At 35.8% G+C, this 18358-nt stretch overlaps 1 long non-coding RNA gene across 2 annotated transcripts; it reads left to right on the forward strand.

The window, feature by feature from the left end:
• Positions 1 to 7116, forward strand: LOC105377168 (uncharacterized). Of its 2 annotated transcripts, none has more exons than XR_940973.2 (3): positions 1 to 41; positions 6157 to 6253; positions 6962 to 7116. It is a non-coding gene; the product is annotated as an uncharacterized LOC105377168 (long non-coding RNA). The 2 variants fall into 2 exon arrangements; XR_940974.2 differs by lacking the exon at positions 1 to 41 and adding an exon at positions 5898 to 6015.
• The last annotated feature ends 11242 nt before the right edge of the window (positions 7117 to 18358 follow it).

An 18358-nucleotide genomic window follows, 5' to 3' on the forward strand; every position in this document is an offset into this window, starting at 1 on the left:
GAGGACTGCCAGCAGGCTGTCACCTCTCACCAGGTTGGCAGGTTTGTAAATATTTACACTGGGTGGCAGTTCCAAGGCGGCCATTTTTTTTTCCCTGCGCAATGTTCCCTCTCCATTAAACCACTAACAAAAATCTGCATGCAAGGAATTCTGGAAAAATAATGAATTAATGAATAATTTTGGTTGAGAGACCTGTAGCAATGATTTCTATTAGTCGTCTATTAGTCTAGATAAGAATCTACTCACGGTGTGTCATGCTTCCAGTTTATGCTCTCAAACAATTTTAATGTATCATTAGAGTTCTGCATTCACCTTTTTGAAATAAGATATACCTGAGAGATTTCCTATGGATAGGGAAAAATAAGATATTGAGAATTAGCTATTCTTAGACTATTTTAAAAATTGAAAAGGACAAGATTCAATAGCCTTCATAGGGCACTATATTTTTGCTCAAACATCAATTGTGTGTTTCAAAGAATGCTGAAAAATATATTTAAGGACATTATTTCAAATTGAATTTTTAAATTGCTAATACATCTAGAATTCCTAGAAATCACTTATTTATATTATTTTTCACATGTTGAGTATACAACTTGAATATAAAGAAAGAAATGGATATTATCTTAAAGTGCCCATTGAGCTACATGTTCCTCCTCCGTTCCACTATAGTCTATTTTATCGTATGTATTTTTAGAGTGTATGCAACAGAATGACTTTCTCAATAGTTTCTTTTAAACAATAAAGTAAAAAATACATGCTACTTTTTCTGTTAAGTAACTTTATTTCTCATTCTTTTTTTTTCTTAAGTAATACTTAAAACATAGGCTTGTGCTTCTAGAATAAACATATAATTGTACAGGGCAGGGCGCGGTGGCTCACGCCTGTAATCCCAGCACTTTGGGAGGCTGAGATGGGCAGATCACGAGATCAGGAGTTTGAGACCAGTCTGGCCAATATGGTGAAACCCCAACTCTACTTAAAATACAAAAATCACCCAGGCGTGGTGGTGCGTTTCTGTAGTCCCAGCTACTCGGGAGGCTGAGGCAGAAGAATCGCTTGAATCCAGGAGGTGGAGGTTGCAGTGAGTCAAAATCATGCCACTGCACTCCAACCTGGGTGACAGAGTGAGATTCCATCTCAAAAAAAAAAAAAAAAGATATACTGCAATCTGTGGCAACCCACTCCCCTTATTAATAATAGTCTGGTAGTTGCTGAAATGTATTCTATATAATGTATCAGATAATTACAATTTTTAGAGACCACGAATGAATTGTATAGTGACTACTAATTCTTAGTGTCCCCATATTAAATCACCAAAATCTTGTTCCAGAGGGTGAAGTGTGAAAAATCAATTTTTACAAATATAATCCATGAATGAGCAAAGAATATTTTCCCTAGCAAGAAAAGCAGTATCAAAGGCCTGTTAGCTAAGCAGGGATGAATTTCTGATGGGGGTCCCAGAACTCTTTGAGGTCTGCCAGCTAAAAACAGCTTTGAGAAGACATTTTGTCAGATTGTCCCTTGTCCCCATTTAAAGAAGCATAGTGATACATTTGTGCCGTTCTCAAACTGAGGGCTTTTAGTACCTGCTTGAATGACCTAAAATCACATGTAGCTCCTTAAATGGTAGATGCAGTGGTACTTACGCATGAAACAGTATGGTTCAGTTTTTGTAAGCTTTCTGAGACGACTAATGGTCCTTTAAGTAGAAAACTGATTCCCCTCAATAAATCACTATCATCAGGGAGCTACAAACACAGATCCTTAGATATGCATGGAGATAACCTTTCCCGGACAGATACTTGTATTGATCACTTGGTTAGTATTAGATGTTGTATTGATTAAATTGACTAACATTTTAAAAACTTGGCCTCTAAGTAACAATTTGAATAATAGTTTGTTATTCATACGTGTTGGTGTTCTGGAGCTTGCCCAGCAACATCTCCTTCTCTGCCTGGCTTCTGAATATATTTAAAAATAAGACAAAGGAATTACACACATGGGGGTCAAATGGCTCATTTACTATTGATGAAACTGATATGGGAAAATGGTTATTAAATTTGCAAGAAATGAAATTTCCAACACAGAAATACAGCCCTTTCATTTGAGCTGAATTATCTGCCAAGAAGCAGACCACCCTAAATTAACCACCCTAAGCTTTTACTTGTAAACCTGTGGACTCTCAGAGCAGAAAAGACAACATACCTTAAGAGGGAAATTCTGCTGCTAGACCAGATGGGTCTGGGTGCACACATCCACAGAAAATTAAATGAGCCTCTGTAGGACTGAGTGCCTGAAAGGGAGGAGAAGGGCCACTCATGATACATGAAGGGAACTCCCTCCTCATGAAAGACACATGAAAAACAGGAAAGAAGCAGTCTACTTAATAATGAGCTCAACTTACATATTTTCATACTTCTGTAGGAAGAAAGGTATAATTGCCAATCTTTTTGTCTAGAAATCATGGATCCAAATAAAAACTAGAGAATATGATTGGACATCATAATTTTTTTGAAAGTACAAAGTGGGTGGGGGGGTATAGTCATTTACCCCCAAACTAAGAAGACAGCCTATTTTTTTATAGTTAAAGAAAGCCATTATTTTTCTACTCAGAGTATATAAAATGAGGATGGATTCCATATACTCAGAGTATAGAATAATAATTCACCTTTGCTTCTGGATTATTGTTTAATAATGATGCTTATTGAATACTCTAGAGGAGAGTGTTTTAGACACGGGGTTCATCCTAAAAATTAAAGTATATTATGATGACCTATATCCATAGTTGAACGTTCAGATGTTTACATGTACTAGGCAGGGAAACTAACTGAGTGAAGGCCAGGTTAAGAAAAACAACAGCATATGTGTGACACAAAACGATGACTAATGCTTAGCCTCATAGCAGGGAAAACAACTGGGAGTGATGGGGACTGTGGCAGATTCGTGCCTAGTCTAAATGCACGTATAAGGTCTAAATGCTAGTATAAGGTCTGTATGATTTTTCTAGTGTTTTAAAAGAATCTAATAATTTACATTTCATATAAAATCTGCACTTTAATGTTTACAATCATTAAAAACAAAACAGAGCTCCAGAAATGTTAGAAGCCAAAAATATCAGGAAAAATCTTGTCAACACCACCCTGTGGATACAGTGAATGGCTTCTGACTTTCTTTCCTGCCTTGTGTTACTTGCTCCAGATTCAAAGTCCTGGAAAGAAGGGAGCAGCCAAATAGACTGAATTGGCCACATTCTCTAACCTCTGCTTTTTCAATATATTTTAGAGAATGGAGAGAAGTTTCTGATCCCTTTGTCTTCATTGGTAGGAGTGGAAATTTGGGATTTTACTTACAATAAGCTTACACACATCAGCATTGGTGAACTATGGCCCTTGGCCAAATCTGGATCATTGCTTGTTTTTCTAAGTACCCTTTATTGGAACACAGTTAAAATCTATCTGTGCATACATTATCTATCTATGACTGCTTTTTTGCTTTAGTAGCAGAGTTGATAGCTGTGGCTGAGGCCATTTGGCCTGCAAAGCCAAAAAAATCTGTCCTTTTAGAGAAAAGTGTTGTCAACTCTAGAGAAACAGGGACGGTTAACACATGATATCTACAATGACAATATGTCTGCTGTTCACCATATATACACAGTGACTTTAAAATTTGTTCTTAATGTACTCATGTAACATTTAGAATATATATATTGAATGTATCTTTTCTTTACAAAACTCAATACTAAATGCTGAGGTTATAACCAGATCCCTGCACTCAAAGACTCCACGAACTAGTGTGAGGAACAGCAGGAAACAACTGATTGTAATTAATGCCATTTGAGGTAAGTGGAAAAGAATAAAAAAAGACACATAAAATATGTGAGGAAAATGCAAAATAAAATATATATTCTTTTAGCAAACATGAGCACATTGTGTTTTTACCAAAGATATTAGACATCTTTGTCAGTGAATAGAGCATTGATAATAATGAACTAAAAAAATCCTGTACTATTTTAAATTTGAGTGTAAACATGTTCCACCATGAAGATTTCTTGGGCTACCAAAAATGGTAAAATTTAGTGGTTTGGATTGACCTTACATATGTTGGAACTGCTAAACTGAGGGGAAGTGGCTCAAAAATATGTATTAGTTAGGAATTGCATTTGATAGCAGGTAAGAAAAAATATAACAGCATGTAAGTAATATTTAAAGCATAGTGTTGTCCTGAATGTGTAAACAGTTAGTTGGTCTCAGGCAACAAGAAGTTTGGAAATAAGCATTGAGAGTTGGCATAGCTATTCAGTGAAGTCATCATGAAGAGCGACATTTTCTGTCTTTTCACTATGGTATCTTAGATTTACAGGTTTTACCCTCAGGGTCTCAATAAGACTGCTTCACATGCATAACCCATATCTGTGTTTCAGCTGGAAATAAGGTATGAGGACCAGAGGGCAAAGGGGGCTGTGCCCGGCAAGTTCTCTGCCTCTCTTTCAAATAACTTATTTGAAGTATTACACAGTCCAATCACAAGTGCACAGATAGGTGAATGTCAGCAGTTTGAACACACCCATGTAATCAACATCCAGGTTAACAATTAAGAATTAAAACAATACTGGCCTCCAAGAAGCTTCCCATGCCACTCCAGACAATGATTACCACTATCTTGACTTCTAACACTAAAGATTAGTTTTTCCTAGTTTTGAGCTTTATAGAAATGGAATTATACGCTGAGTATTCTTTGGTCGGTGACTTATACTAAGGATTACAGTTGTAATAGTCATCCTTGGGTGTAATTGTAGCTTGTTCATTCTCATTGTAATAAAGTATTTCATTTTACGGTTATTCCTAATTTGCCCATTTCACTGCTGATGAACATTTGGGCTATTTCTTATATTAGACTATGAACTTTGCTATAAGTATTCTAGTGAGTTTGTGTTCTTTTTAGGTGAACACATGTATTCATTTCTGTGGGGAATATATCTAGCAGTGCCTGCATAACTCAGAGGATGTGGTAAACATTAGTAGATGCTTTCCAGAGAAACTTTACCAATTGAAATCCCACTAATAGTGTCTGAGAGTTCCCATTGCTCCACACCTTTGCCAACACTTGCTATGACTAGTCTTTTTCATTTTAGATATTGTGGCAGTTGTGACATTTGTCTCTTAGAGGCCCTACCCAGAAAATTCTGTTTACAAATCATTGGCCAGGATGATGTCATAGAGTAAACCATAGCAGGAAGAGATTAGCATTTCTGCCTCCAAGATGGGAGAATATGGAGGAGAATATCAATGACTTCTGGTAGGTAATCCTTAGAGACTCTCAAGGGGGAAGAATCCAAGAAATGGACTACAGCGTCTCCACTGGAGTGAAACATAGTATGATTCATTTTATTTCTTGCTCACATCTGGTGAGAGAACATTTGGATCTCTGCTATGTAAAGGAATTTTGAGAAACTAGTAGCTTAAGCACTAAGTACCTAAAAGCACAAGGAATCATATACAAAGATGCTAGATTCTTACTTTTAATCAAATGGAAAGCAAAAAAGAATGGAAACTGGGAATCAGAAAGGAAAGGTTAAATGTCCATAGGGCCAGAGCAGGAAAGTTCCTCCATGACTACTCTAGAATATTCGGGACCATGATTGGGGACATCATTTAGGAGAGCACCAAAGGTCCTTTAGTAGGAATAATTTGGATTTCATTCATTAAAACCACGTTGTATTAAAGAAACATGAAGCCAAAGAACACCGTAATAGTTTTCACTCTTGAAACACTTCAGAAGTGAACAAGACTCCTACTACCATGAAAAGAGTTGAGGAATGACTTGATAGTCTAGTGTCCCAGGAAAGCTCTGAGTCATGCAATAGGAAACTTGTTTTTCTTCTTAGGATAAATCTCCACTTTAATGTACTACAGCAGGGAAGCCACTTGGTGACAAACACTAATGTCTGCAATGACTGGACCGGTAACACTACTGCTCGTTGAGTCATGTGGGTCAGGTGGGGACAGCACTCGAAGGGTATGTTTCTTCTAAAATTGGTAGCCACTACTCATTTTAAAGCAATTTTTAGAATTTTGGATCTATAATTGCTAGATCTCATTTTTCTTCAGGTATTTACCTTTAATATTTAAATCTTACCAAAAATTCAATTTTTTTCAGAAAAAGAAAACATTAGCAGCCAAATTAGCCAGTCTGCCTGTGGAATGAAGGCTCCAGTTTTTGACCTCTAATGAAAGAAGAAAGAATACTCATTGAGGTTTGTGTTGACACTCTCAACTCCACACCAGTTATGTATTTTGATTAAGGCCTTTAACTCTCTCTAATCCATCCCTGCTTTCCTCCATGTTCAAATGAATGGTTTAGCTAGTTGATATTTGAAGTCCCACTTAGTACTTGAATATAATAATGCTGAGATGCCCAGTGTTCTAGGTTGAGGCTTTCTGGAAGCATAATGCTTTCTTTCAACTTTTTGGCTCACATTTTAAGTGATATTTTAAGGGGTCTCTGTCAAGCTCCCCTTCAGCTTGGTGAGAAGATCATTGTCTTAACACTTCCAGGACAGCCATAAGATGGTGTACTTTTGTAGTTTTTTGTACGTGTCACTCCTTTTGAACATCAAGCAGAAATATTCAGGATCTTGGGCAAAAAGTGTAAACCCTTAATTATATCAAGTTAATATTCTTAACACTAATAGTCTGAAATGAAACAACAGTGTAATGCAATGCTAGTGAGCCTTTCACAGGGCCATTCAGGAGATAGACATGAACGCTCAGGTTATATGAGTTCACATCTCAGAGATCCATACAGTTAAATCTATAGGAAATAATATTACTAGCAGTTTTGCAATTATGTTTATGTAAGTGTGTGTATATACACGTTTGTTTATATAATGCTTAAATATATATAAAATATATATAATGCTTAAAAGTATGATTGCAATTACAGTTGACCTTGAACAACACAGGTTTCAGCTGCTTGGGGCCATTTAGGCATGGATTTTCTTCTGCCTCTGCCACCTGGAGACAGGAAGACCAACCCCTCCTGCCCTCCTCCTCCCTAGCCTAGCCAATGTGAAGATGACAAGAATGAAGACGTTTATGATGATCCACTTCCACTTGATGAACAGTAAATATATTTTATCTTCCTTATGATTTTCTTAATATTTTCTTTTCTCTAGCTTACTTTATTATAAGAATATGGAATACAATATATATATCATACAAAATATGTTAGTCAACTGTTTATGTTATCAGTAAGGCTTCTAGTCAACAGTAGGCTATTAGTAGTTAATGTTTTGTAGAGTCAAAAGTTATAAGTGAATTTTTGACTATGCAGGGGGTTGGTTCCCCTAACCCCCCCATTGCTCAAGGGTCAACTGTATGCATAATTCCTATATATATGTGTGTGTGTGTGTTTTAACTTGACTGCTGTTATATCTATGCATACTATATGTCCACAATATATACACCTATATATTTAGCATCTAGTCATTTTAGTTTTTCTCTTGTTTGTATGTCTGTATTTTTATATTTTCTGATTTTTAAATGAGTGTACATTACTTTAAAAACTATTAATATACTTAAGTAATCAGAATAGCGTATGCCACATAAACTGTATTTCGGTATTTTTATGAAAGATCAAGATGAAAATAAATCCACTTTTTGTTAATTTTATTTTTTTAGATGGAGTTTCGCTTTTGTTGCCCAGGCTGGAGTGCAATGGCGCAATCTCGGCTCACTGCAACCTCCACCTCCCTGGTTCAATTGATTCTCCTGCCTCCCAGGTTCAAGCAATTCTCCTGCTTTAGCCTCCCGAGTAGCTGGGATTATAGGTGTCTACCGCCCCGCCTGGCTAAATTTTTTGTACTTTTAGTAGAGATGGGGTTTCACCATGTTGGCCAGGCTGGTCTCGAACTCGTGTCCTCAGGTGATCCACCCACCTTGGCCTCCCAAAGTGCTGGGATTACAGGCATGAGCCACTGTGCCTGGCCTGTTAACATTTTTAATTCAAGATGCATTTATCAAATAATAGCAGAGCCTCCTATGTACTCAGCCACAATATTTTCCTAAGTACATTGATATTTTAAATTATAAACAAGAGTTAAGGGAAAGAAAACAAATACAAAATCAACACACATGTTGCTAACTGTATGAAGAATGGCATTTGTTAAGTGGGATATACTCAATGAAAAACAATAAAAATATGTTAGATTTCTCTCCATTGTCTAGACATCCAAAGGAGAGGGGGTGAAGAGAAGAGTGATTGTGCATGGAAAATTAAATGTGGATTTGCAGTCTGTGCTGCCAGCAAAAAATTGCCGTGCTATTTGGGGTTGAAAAGGCATCATGTTATGAAGCAAGGGGAGAGGTAATTGTCTGCCTCATTCCACTGCTGAGCAGACTGTATCTAGAATATCATATTTATTTCAGAAAATAAGAATACTAAAAACCTAAAATTATAGCAGTTTCAGAAAAGAACAAAAAAAGTAAGAGAAAATGTACCCTTGGCTGAGAATGAAAAACTAAATGAATTAAGTGTGCATGAATAAATTAGTGATATGAGTACTGAGGAAAGAAACAGAACTACAAATGATGAAGCAGAGAAAGAAAAAAACATTTTGGTTGCCAAAAAAATCTAAAGAAAAAGTTCACAGAACCGTCTATGTCAATTATAAAAGTAGTGTTTAGAAATGTTAGAAAAGCTACTGATCATGAGTTTTATTGGCCAATATGCAGTTTTCCATCCGTAATGTGTTTATTTATTGGTCTTTAATACACTTACCATTGAACTAAATTGGGTGAAAAGGCTATATCTGTTCAGCACAGTAATGGAGATAATTTAAAATACCCTTTGGCCCTCCCAATACTTATAAATAACAAATAAAATTGGTGCTTTTATACTATCAATATTCAATGGTAGAAATAAAGAGATTGTTACGTTAAGTTCATAATCATCAGTATTTATAGGCCAGGCACAGTGGCTCAAGTCTGTAATCCCAATACTTTTGGAGGCTGAGGCAGGAAAATCACTTGAGGCCAGGAGTTCAATACCAGCCTGGGCAACATAGACCCCATCTCTACAAAAAAACAAAATAAAAATTAGCCAGGTGTGGTGATGCACATATGTAGTCCCAGATACTCTGGAAGCTTAGGTTAGAGGATCACTTGAGCCCAGAAGTTTGAGGTTACAGTGAGCTATGATTGTGCCACTGAACTCCAGCAAGGGTGACAAAGCAAGACTCTGTCTTTAAAAAAAAATAATTAGGACAGGTGCGGTGGCTCCTGCCTGTAATCCCAGCACTTTGGGAGGCCAAGGTGGGTGGATCACAAGGTCAGGAGATTGAGACCATCCTGGCTAGCATGGTGAAACCCTACCTCTACTAAAAATACAAAAAATTAGCCAGGCGTGGTGGCATGTGCCTGTAGTCCCAGCTACTCAGGAGGCTGAGGCAGGAGAATCACTTGAACCCGGGAGGCCAGAGGTTGCCGTGAGCCGAGATTGCACCACTGCACTCCAGCCTGGGCGACAGAGTGAGACTCCGTCTCAAAAAATAAATAAATTAATTAATTAATAATAAGAAATATTTTTAAAATAAAATGAGTGACCAGTTTCCTGCAGGTACTGTTCAAAATATGTAAAAAATACAATGCCTGCCATTCTGAAGGTAACATACTAATTAAGTGAAAACATAGTTAACAGCACTCCATGAAGTTTGAATAACATAACTCTCAATGAAATGATGAAAACATATACATAAACCTGGTGGCTATAAGAAAATGCCACTCGGATCTCCAACTACAGGGATTTTAACTGACTAGGGGCTTGAGTACCTGGAAAATCCATCCCTATGTTTTTGCTGAGGCTTCAGGTCACATGAACTGCTCCTAGTGAATGGCTGACATTACAGGACACTAAGGCAAACTTGTTCTTGGGAGATGCAGGAATCCTCTGATGGCTTGACTCAAGGACTCGCCAAGAGTCCTGCTAAATCTTTTTTGAGACTGCATCCAATTGAACTTCTTTCCTTCTTTTTTAAAAATTTACAGTCAGACTTGCATGTTTGTTGGCTTTCTCAGCCTTTCTCTGCTCTTTCTATATTTTCTGTCTTAGGTGTTTCCCTTAATCCTTGCAAATTTAATTGTTGATATGGTTTGGCTGTGTCCCCACCCAAATCTCAATCTGAATTTTATCTCCTAGAATTCTCACGTGTTGTGGGAGGGACCCAGGGGGAGGTAATTGAATCATGGGGGCCAGTCTTTCCCATGCTATTCTCGTGATAGTGAATAAGTCTCACGACATCTGATGGGTTTATCAGGGGTTTCCACTTTTGCTTCTTCCTCATTTTTCTCTTGTCGCCACCATGTAAGAAGTGCCTTTTGCCTCCCACCATAACTCTCAGGCCTCCCAAGCCTTGTGGAGCTATAAGTCCAATTAAACCTCTTTTTGTTCCCAGTTTCGGGTGTGTCTTTATCAGCAGCATGAAAACGAACTAATAACAATTGTCTTTGCATCTACCTCACTGAGGACCTGGACTAATAAAATTGCATTTGTTTATTCTAATCCTTAAAGTCAGTCTATTCAGATAGGTCACAGATGTAGATAGTTAATATTTCTGGCATTTAGCCTTTTTATATTCAAATTTTTTTTAACTTATGGAAATTTGGCCAAGATGGCCAACTGAGCACAGAATTACCTAACCCCAGACACAAATTTAAAATTCAGAGGAAATAGAACAAATACAGGAACAATTCTGCATTAAAAAAAAAGAGAGAGACAGACAGAGGAATTTGTCAAGGAAAAAAATTAGATAAGACTAAATTGACAAGTTTTATGGAAAATATAAATCAAAGATTATGAGAGGAAATAATATTTGATGGTATGAATAGAGAAGTTTGTAAGAAATAGAAAAAATTTGTTTATATATGTTAAAAAGTCAACATGTATAGTAGGAAAAGCTACATGATAAGAGCATTAATAAACAACAAATTAAACAGGAAAAGTCAGTTAATTTTAATAAAAGGTACAGAAAGATGTAACACCATCTCTATAGAACAAAAGGCCTCATTACATAGTTAAAAATAAATAGTGATCTAGGAGAAAATTATCTGTAGAAGACTGATGTTGAAAATATATGAAGAGATCTTACCAATAAAGAAATACCAATAAAGAACAAAATGGAAGAAACTTATGAATTACCACATTAAAGAAACAATATAATTAGACCATAAGCATGTTGAAAAAATGCTTAACCTCACTAATTACCAAGGACATAGAAATTAAAATAACAACTTGGCAGTATTTCAAAATTAGAAATTTAAACATATTTTCATTATGCAACTTTACTTCTGGGTGTCTACTCTAGAAAAATATTTGTCTATGGCTATGATGCAGAACTGATATTGAGCCTGTTATAATGCCATTTTTCTATAGCTAGCTAATTCTGAGTTGTAGAGAATCTCTTCCAACTGGGCAATGTCCAAATCATTCTGAATGATAAATATATCAAATAGCACTCTTGGTACTAAGTTATTTACAAAGATGTTCATTACAGAATTGCTTGTAATAATAATAATAGCCCCCCCCACCAAACAACCCAAGTATCCCTCACTAAAGGAATGAACACATTACGCACATTTATATGAGAAAGAGCAAACCTGTAGTTAAAATAAATGAGCTAAGTCAACATGTGACAACGTTTAAATCTCAAAGCCCAATACTGAATTCTTAAAAGTTGCAAAAGGACATGCATGACTTGATTTTATCTATTTAAAGTTCTGAATCACAAAATGTAAACTTGTTATAATGAATTCTAATATACAAAATAATAACAAAAAAAGCAATCTGGATGTATACACACCAGATTCAGAAAAGTGGTCATTTTTGGTGAGTTAGATTTCTTGGGCTTTAACTTTTCATGCAATATTTAATGTTTTATTTTATAAAAAAGAGAATTGCAGCAATTATGGCAAAGTTTCCCTTAAATTCTATGTCACTTTCATATGTTTGAAATATTTTTTAATTTAGAAAAAGTGATCAAGAAAGATAAAACAGTCACAATTTTTAGTAGGATACTCATTCTTTCCAAAATATGGCCAAATATTTAAGCATTTTAAAATGGAATATATTATAGATATATTCTCTAAAGATTCAAATTTTTGAATTTATGTTGATGACAGTAGCTTAAAGCAGATTCTCCTATATCATAGTATTTCTTTCACTACGTTATAAATAAAATGAAATTCCTACTAATTCTTTTTTTTTTTTTTTTTTTTTTTTTGAGACGGATTCTCGCTCTGTTGCCCGGGCTGGAGTGCAGTGGCGGGATCTCGGCTCACTGCAAGCTCCGCCTCCCGGGTTCACGCCATTCTCCTGCCTCAGCCTCCCAAGTAGCTGGGACTACAGGCGCCCGCCACTACGCCCGGCTAATTTTTTTGTATTTTTAGTAGAAACGGGGTTTCACCGTTTTAGCCGGGATGGTCTCGATCTCCTGACCTCGTGATCCGCCCGCCTTGGCCTCCCAAAGTGCTGGGATTACAGGCGTGAGCCACCGCGCCCGGCCCCTACTAATTCTTTGAAGTATATTCAGAATATAGTTATTGCATCTTTCAGTATCTTCTGGCTGGAAATAGAAGACTTTTGAAATTCTTGACATAAAAATTGTGACACAAATTCTAACTAGTGTTTTAAAGACTTGTTAAATATATATATTTTTTCCAAATAAAATTTCTTAATATTTCATGATATGTATTTTTTTTCATTGAAGATGTTGGTGAGAAACTGATTCAGAAACAATAAAGTAGTGGTGAATAAAACTGTGGTCTGACAAGCAAAACAGACCAGTAAGAACTATCATGTGTTTAAATTTATTTTAAAGTGAAAATATCTTCCCTATATTTTTAAAATCTTAGGCAGATCTCTGGCTAGCATACTCAAAATAAAAACAGAATTAAGTATATAAAAACAAATTTTGGGCCCAGTGCAGTGGCTCATGCCTGTAATTCCAGCACTTTGGGAGGCTGATGTGGGCAGATCACATGAGGTCAGGAGCTCGAGACCAGCCTGGCCAATATGGTGAAACCCCACCTCTACTAAAATAGCCGGGCATGGTGGCGTACGCCTGTAATCCCAGCTACTCGGGAGGCTGAGGCAGGAGAATTGCTTGAACCCGGGAGGTGGAGGTTGCAGTGAGCCGAGTTTGTGCCACTGCACTCCAGCCTGGGTGACAGAGCGAGACTCCGTCTCCAAAAAGAAAAAAAAAAAACAAACAAAAAACAAATTTTACTGAACATCTATATTTGCATATTAAACTTAAAATAATATTTGTTTTGGAGCACGATGAAAGAAATCTAAATGCCTGCATTATAGATTGAGGCCTTTTCTAGGAAATCAAATGAGTGAGAAAAAATTAATTCAATTCTTGATTTATGCTTTCTTTTTGCATTGGACACACTCATAACTTTGAACATTTTAAATATTAGTTTGGTATACAAAACTTGATTACATCTACTTTCTCAGCTAATGATATTATTGCAGCTAATTTGGAGTAACTATAGTCTTTGCTTCCCTAAATGTGTCTTCAGAAATAAGATGTATCTCTAAGATGATGTAAAGTCTCTTTCACTATTTATAATCAACATAAAGGAACCTATTTTAGACTTGTGACATTCAAACAATTTTTTTCTATTCTTTTTCTTTATATTTCAAACTAAAAAACGTAAATATTAGGTATGTATACACACATAATATGTATATGTGTGTGTGTGTATCTATCTATCTATCTATCTATCTATCTATCTATCTATCTATCTACCTATAGATGTAAGGTTTCCTTAGATGTAAGGTTTATATATGTATATATGTGTGTATATATATATAGATGTAAGGTGTATATATATGTATTTAAGGTATATAGATGTATATATATAGATGTATATATGTGTATGTGTATATATGTATAGATGTAAGGTTTCCTTCTATTTTCTATTTAAGATTCTCAGTCCTCTACGCTGTCACAATATTTTGGGTGGTTCTAATACAGCATTTAACTTCTGAGTATCTAGTCCAGAAAAATATTTGTCTAGATATATATTTTAAAATATATTAAATTGAATTATAATTATACATTTGATTTTTTTTCTGCTGGACTGTAGGTTTCTCAAGAACAGGGGCCATATCTTGCACATTTTTATATAGTGGAATTTAATAAACTATCACAATGTAGATTATTCAGTGAATATTTGTGAAGACAATACAAGAATTCATGTTCCCTCTCTAGAATAAATAGAAGCCATGCATAGTGTATGACTGTTATGTTTTAGGACACATTTTCTCATTCTTTTTCTACTTCTGTTATTATAGCAGACTTTTTCTAAGGAGAACATGCTTTTCTTTTTTCTCCCTTTGAATCCTTAAAACATGTCTGGGACATAAGGGAAAACAATATGGCAAAATGTATTTACATAATACCAATTTATTCAGAAAGAACTAATTGATCACCTACTCTGTACCAGGCTTGGTACTAGACATTGGGAATACAATGATGCAGAGAAAACCATCTGCTTGGAATACAGTGATGCAGAGAAAACCATCTAGTTCCACTGAACAGAAAAGCTGTATTACTTCTTGGTGTCACACTTGTATAGAATCATACATAATTGATCCTGGGTATAACTTTGGTTACAGATAGTATTTTTTGTTTTCTAATCATCAGTTTTAAATACCTGGAATCTGATGAGGCTACACTGCAATGTTTACTGAATATGCTTCCATAATAGAGTCCTATTTCCCACTTTCAAAACAAGGTGTACAAATCACAAAATCTGTCTTCCTCTGGTTCTCTGATTTGACTGTTCAACTTCTGGTCCCAGCTGGAAATGATAACTTCATGTTTGTTCACAAATGAATAATGAATTTTTAAGTCTCCTTTGCCTCAGATTGATTTGGAATAAGGGCTTGAACTGGTTGTTGTATTATGAAGCCCATATTTGCCTTCTGTCAAGCAGGGTGGTCCTTGTATTTCAGTTCAAAAACCATCTTGTGTTTACAGGTTCATCACTATAGGTTTTTTGTTTGTTTGCTTCTTTTGTTTTCTGAGAAATTACTAGCTTTGGAGATAATAACAGTTCTGCTCAGAAACTGCAATGGCCAAATATCCTACTCTACTTGTTCTGTGTTTTCCTAAATCTTTAGGTGAAGGAGCTTGCCAAATTGTCAGATTGCTTTGTTGTTTTCCTGTGATGTGGTTGCCAATTTTAAACATTCATTGCTGAAGAAGTGGGATTGTGTGCGACGCCTACCTAGTATTGGGTGACAAGAAATTGCTACTTCTTTCATTCAATTTCTATTCTTTTTTGCTTATTAAACTATTTGGCACTCTTTGGAAAATCTCATTGTCTTTGGACTAAAGATATTTATCACTGTAAGTGAAGAAACTATTATGTAAAATAGGCTTAAAGCCACAGTGATGTTGAGAGCAGCCCCCTTTATCAATGCAGGAGGGTGGCTCTATTTCCATCAGTTACTGGCCTATTTTTCCTCCAGTTTCTGGCAGCATATTTGGATTGCCACTTTATATTTACTCACAGACTGCAGTAAGATCAAGAAGATGGGACACTCTAAGATTCTATTCCCCTTGGGTGCCTCCACTCCCATGAAGGAGTATTGCTGATTTTAACGATATTGGTGCTGTTCTTCTCCACTCCTCTGCTTTAATTTCCCTTCCCTGCTGCTTTGCATATTGAACAATAATGAATGTTTTCTGAGCTCCCACTGTCCTCTCACCTACTCTCACTCTCAACAAAAATGGAAAAGTTTTTTAAAGCCAATTTCATTTTATATTAAATTCTACCAAAATTTGCTCAATTGCATACGAATGCCCAATGTTATTAATATTTTTTCCTTGAAAAGATGCATTCAGAAAAGAGTGATCATTTCAATTAGCTTTTGCTGAAATACTGCAGAAAGTGTTCAGTGATGTGTTTAGCATCTGTGTATATAAATTAAAATAATGTATAAATGTTTCTAAATATGTAACTCCCCATTTTGCTCATGAAGATTGACTGCAAAGGAGTGAGAAGGAATTTTCAGGGGTAAAAGGAACCTTCTACATCTTGATTGTGATTACATGGGTATATATAGCTTATATGTATATGTGTGCATTTGTGTGTGTGTGTGTGGTGTGTGCACATGTGTTTTTGTAAAAGTCATCAAAGTCTATAGGTAAGATCTGCAAATTATAAGTGAGAATCTGTCATATGTGTTCAAACGATTAAAAGCAGGGAGCCTCAGCAGCTGAGAACTCAGACATTAGCCCTAGACAAATAAATGTGTGATTAAAAATTGATAAGTGGTTTGAAAACATGGTAACTGTCAGAGAAAATATGTTGTAAACGATGATTTAATATAATTAAACATGAATCACAGCAAAAGTATTTAAAAACTGTGATCCACAACTCAATTTCAACTACGAATATGATGGTATCTATATGTTCATTGCTGGGGTTGGTGGGTGTGTAGGATTGAGGGAGAATAGAATATATTTTCGCAGGTAAGATTCAAATATTCCGAAATTCACTCAATTGCATATGGATTTCCAATTATATTTGTATATTTTTTCCTGAAAATTTAGATTTTAGTGGGAAATAAATTCCTCAAATTTAAGCAGAAGAAAAATGGACCTGTGGAGGGAGAAAAATAATTTGAAGTTATGTATTTTTAGCATTTCCAACAGCTCTTTAAAAAAAATACTATTTATAGGCATTTGAAAGATCCAGTAGAAAATTATTAACCTGAGAAGCTACTAAAATCAATACAAAGGATGAACATTATAGTATTTGTCTCTGCACAGAACACAATTAGTCATAGTAATACAAATTTATAATAAAATCACATGAGGAATGATAATTATTATCAGTAAATATGTTAGAAACTGATAAATCATGAATTAGAAGTATATTAAGAATGTGAACATAAATTTCAGAGGAAACAACTGAAAATATTATTCCTTATTTATATTTAAACACTTTGCATATATTTGATGAATAAATTTTAATTTAAAAATAAGGAAAGCAGCATACCTTTACAGAAGCATGCTGCAGGAAGGAGCTCCAATACAGTTGAAGCTCCAATTTTAGGAATGAGAGAAATTCCTAAAATTTATCCTTCGATCTCTTTTCCTTTCCTTAAGCAACCTGTATCTATATTTCTGCCTCTTTCCCATCTTTATCCACAGCCCTGTTCACTGGGGCAGAGCTATGTCTCTTCCGAGGCATGGTTGGGTATTCCCTTCTCATGCAGTAAGATTTCAAGGTATTTCTACGACAGAAGAAATCTTTATAATAAGTAGGAAACTTTCACACAATTGTATTCATTTTATTGTAAGAGCTAAAGACAAACCACATATCAGAAAAGTGAAAGAAAAGATACTATAGCTCGTAGTGTTGTTTTAATGCAGTAGCATTAAATATATCAATCATATATTTTTTCTTTTATGCTGTATTTTCTGGATATTCTTCACCTAAAAATTAGCCTTCTGTTTTAGAACGAATAAAGAAACAAACACCCCTTAGTGATTTGCACTTACTCCTCCGTGCACCCTCAAATAGCCATTGGGCAGAGACATATGATTCCAGTTTTTTTTTCCCTCTCACAATTATTATTGGAAGCCTCATCCACTACGGTTACATTTCAGTCACCTATCTTTGGGTCATGTGTTTATCTGTATCCTCAGACCCCAACCCAGAAGCACAGCAGCTGTTGCCAGTGACCTTCTTCCTTGCCATCTGGCTCTATTTCAGATACTTGGTAAGTTTTCTCTGCCCTTCTAAGGGGGAGAGCAAGTTCTCTCAAGGACTCACGAGGCTTTGCTGCCAACAAGTATCATCAGTGCAGAAAACAAAGTATTCTGTTTCAGAGAAGATTTCCAGGGCTTTCTCCTATCTTATATTTAATTATATACATAATGCTTGTTATTGGTAGAGAGTGTTATATAAAAAGTAAAAATAAACAAAAAAACATTCTTTTTCTCCCTATTAACTTTTATTTTAAGTTCCAGGGTACACATGCAGAAGGTGAAGGTTTGTTGCCTAGGTAAATGTGTGTCATGGTGATTTGCTGCACAGATCAATCCATCACCTAGGTATTAAGTCCAACATCCATTAGCTATTCTTCCTGATGCTCTCCCTCCTCCTGCCCCATGACAGGGTCCAGTGTGTGTTGTTTCTGCCACGTGTCCATGTGTTGTCATTGTTCAGCTCGCCCTCATAAGTGAGAACATGCAGTATTTGGTTTTCTGTTTGTGTGTTAGTTTGCTGAGGATAACAGCTTCTAGATCCATCCCTGTCCCTGCAAAGGACATGATCTC

Source organism: Homo sapiens, chromosome 3 (assembly GCF_000001405.40).
Source record: "Homo sapiens chromosome 3, GRCh38.p14 Primary Assembly".
NCBI classification, from domain to species: Eukaryota; Metazoa; Chordata; class Mammalia; order Primates; family Hominidae; genus Homo; species Homo sapiens.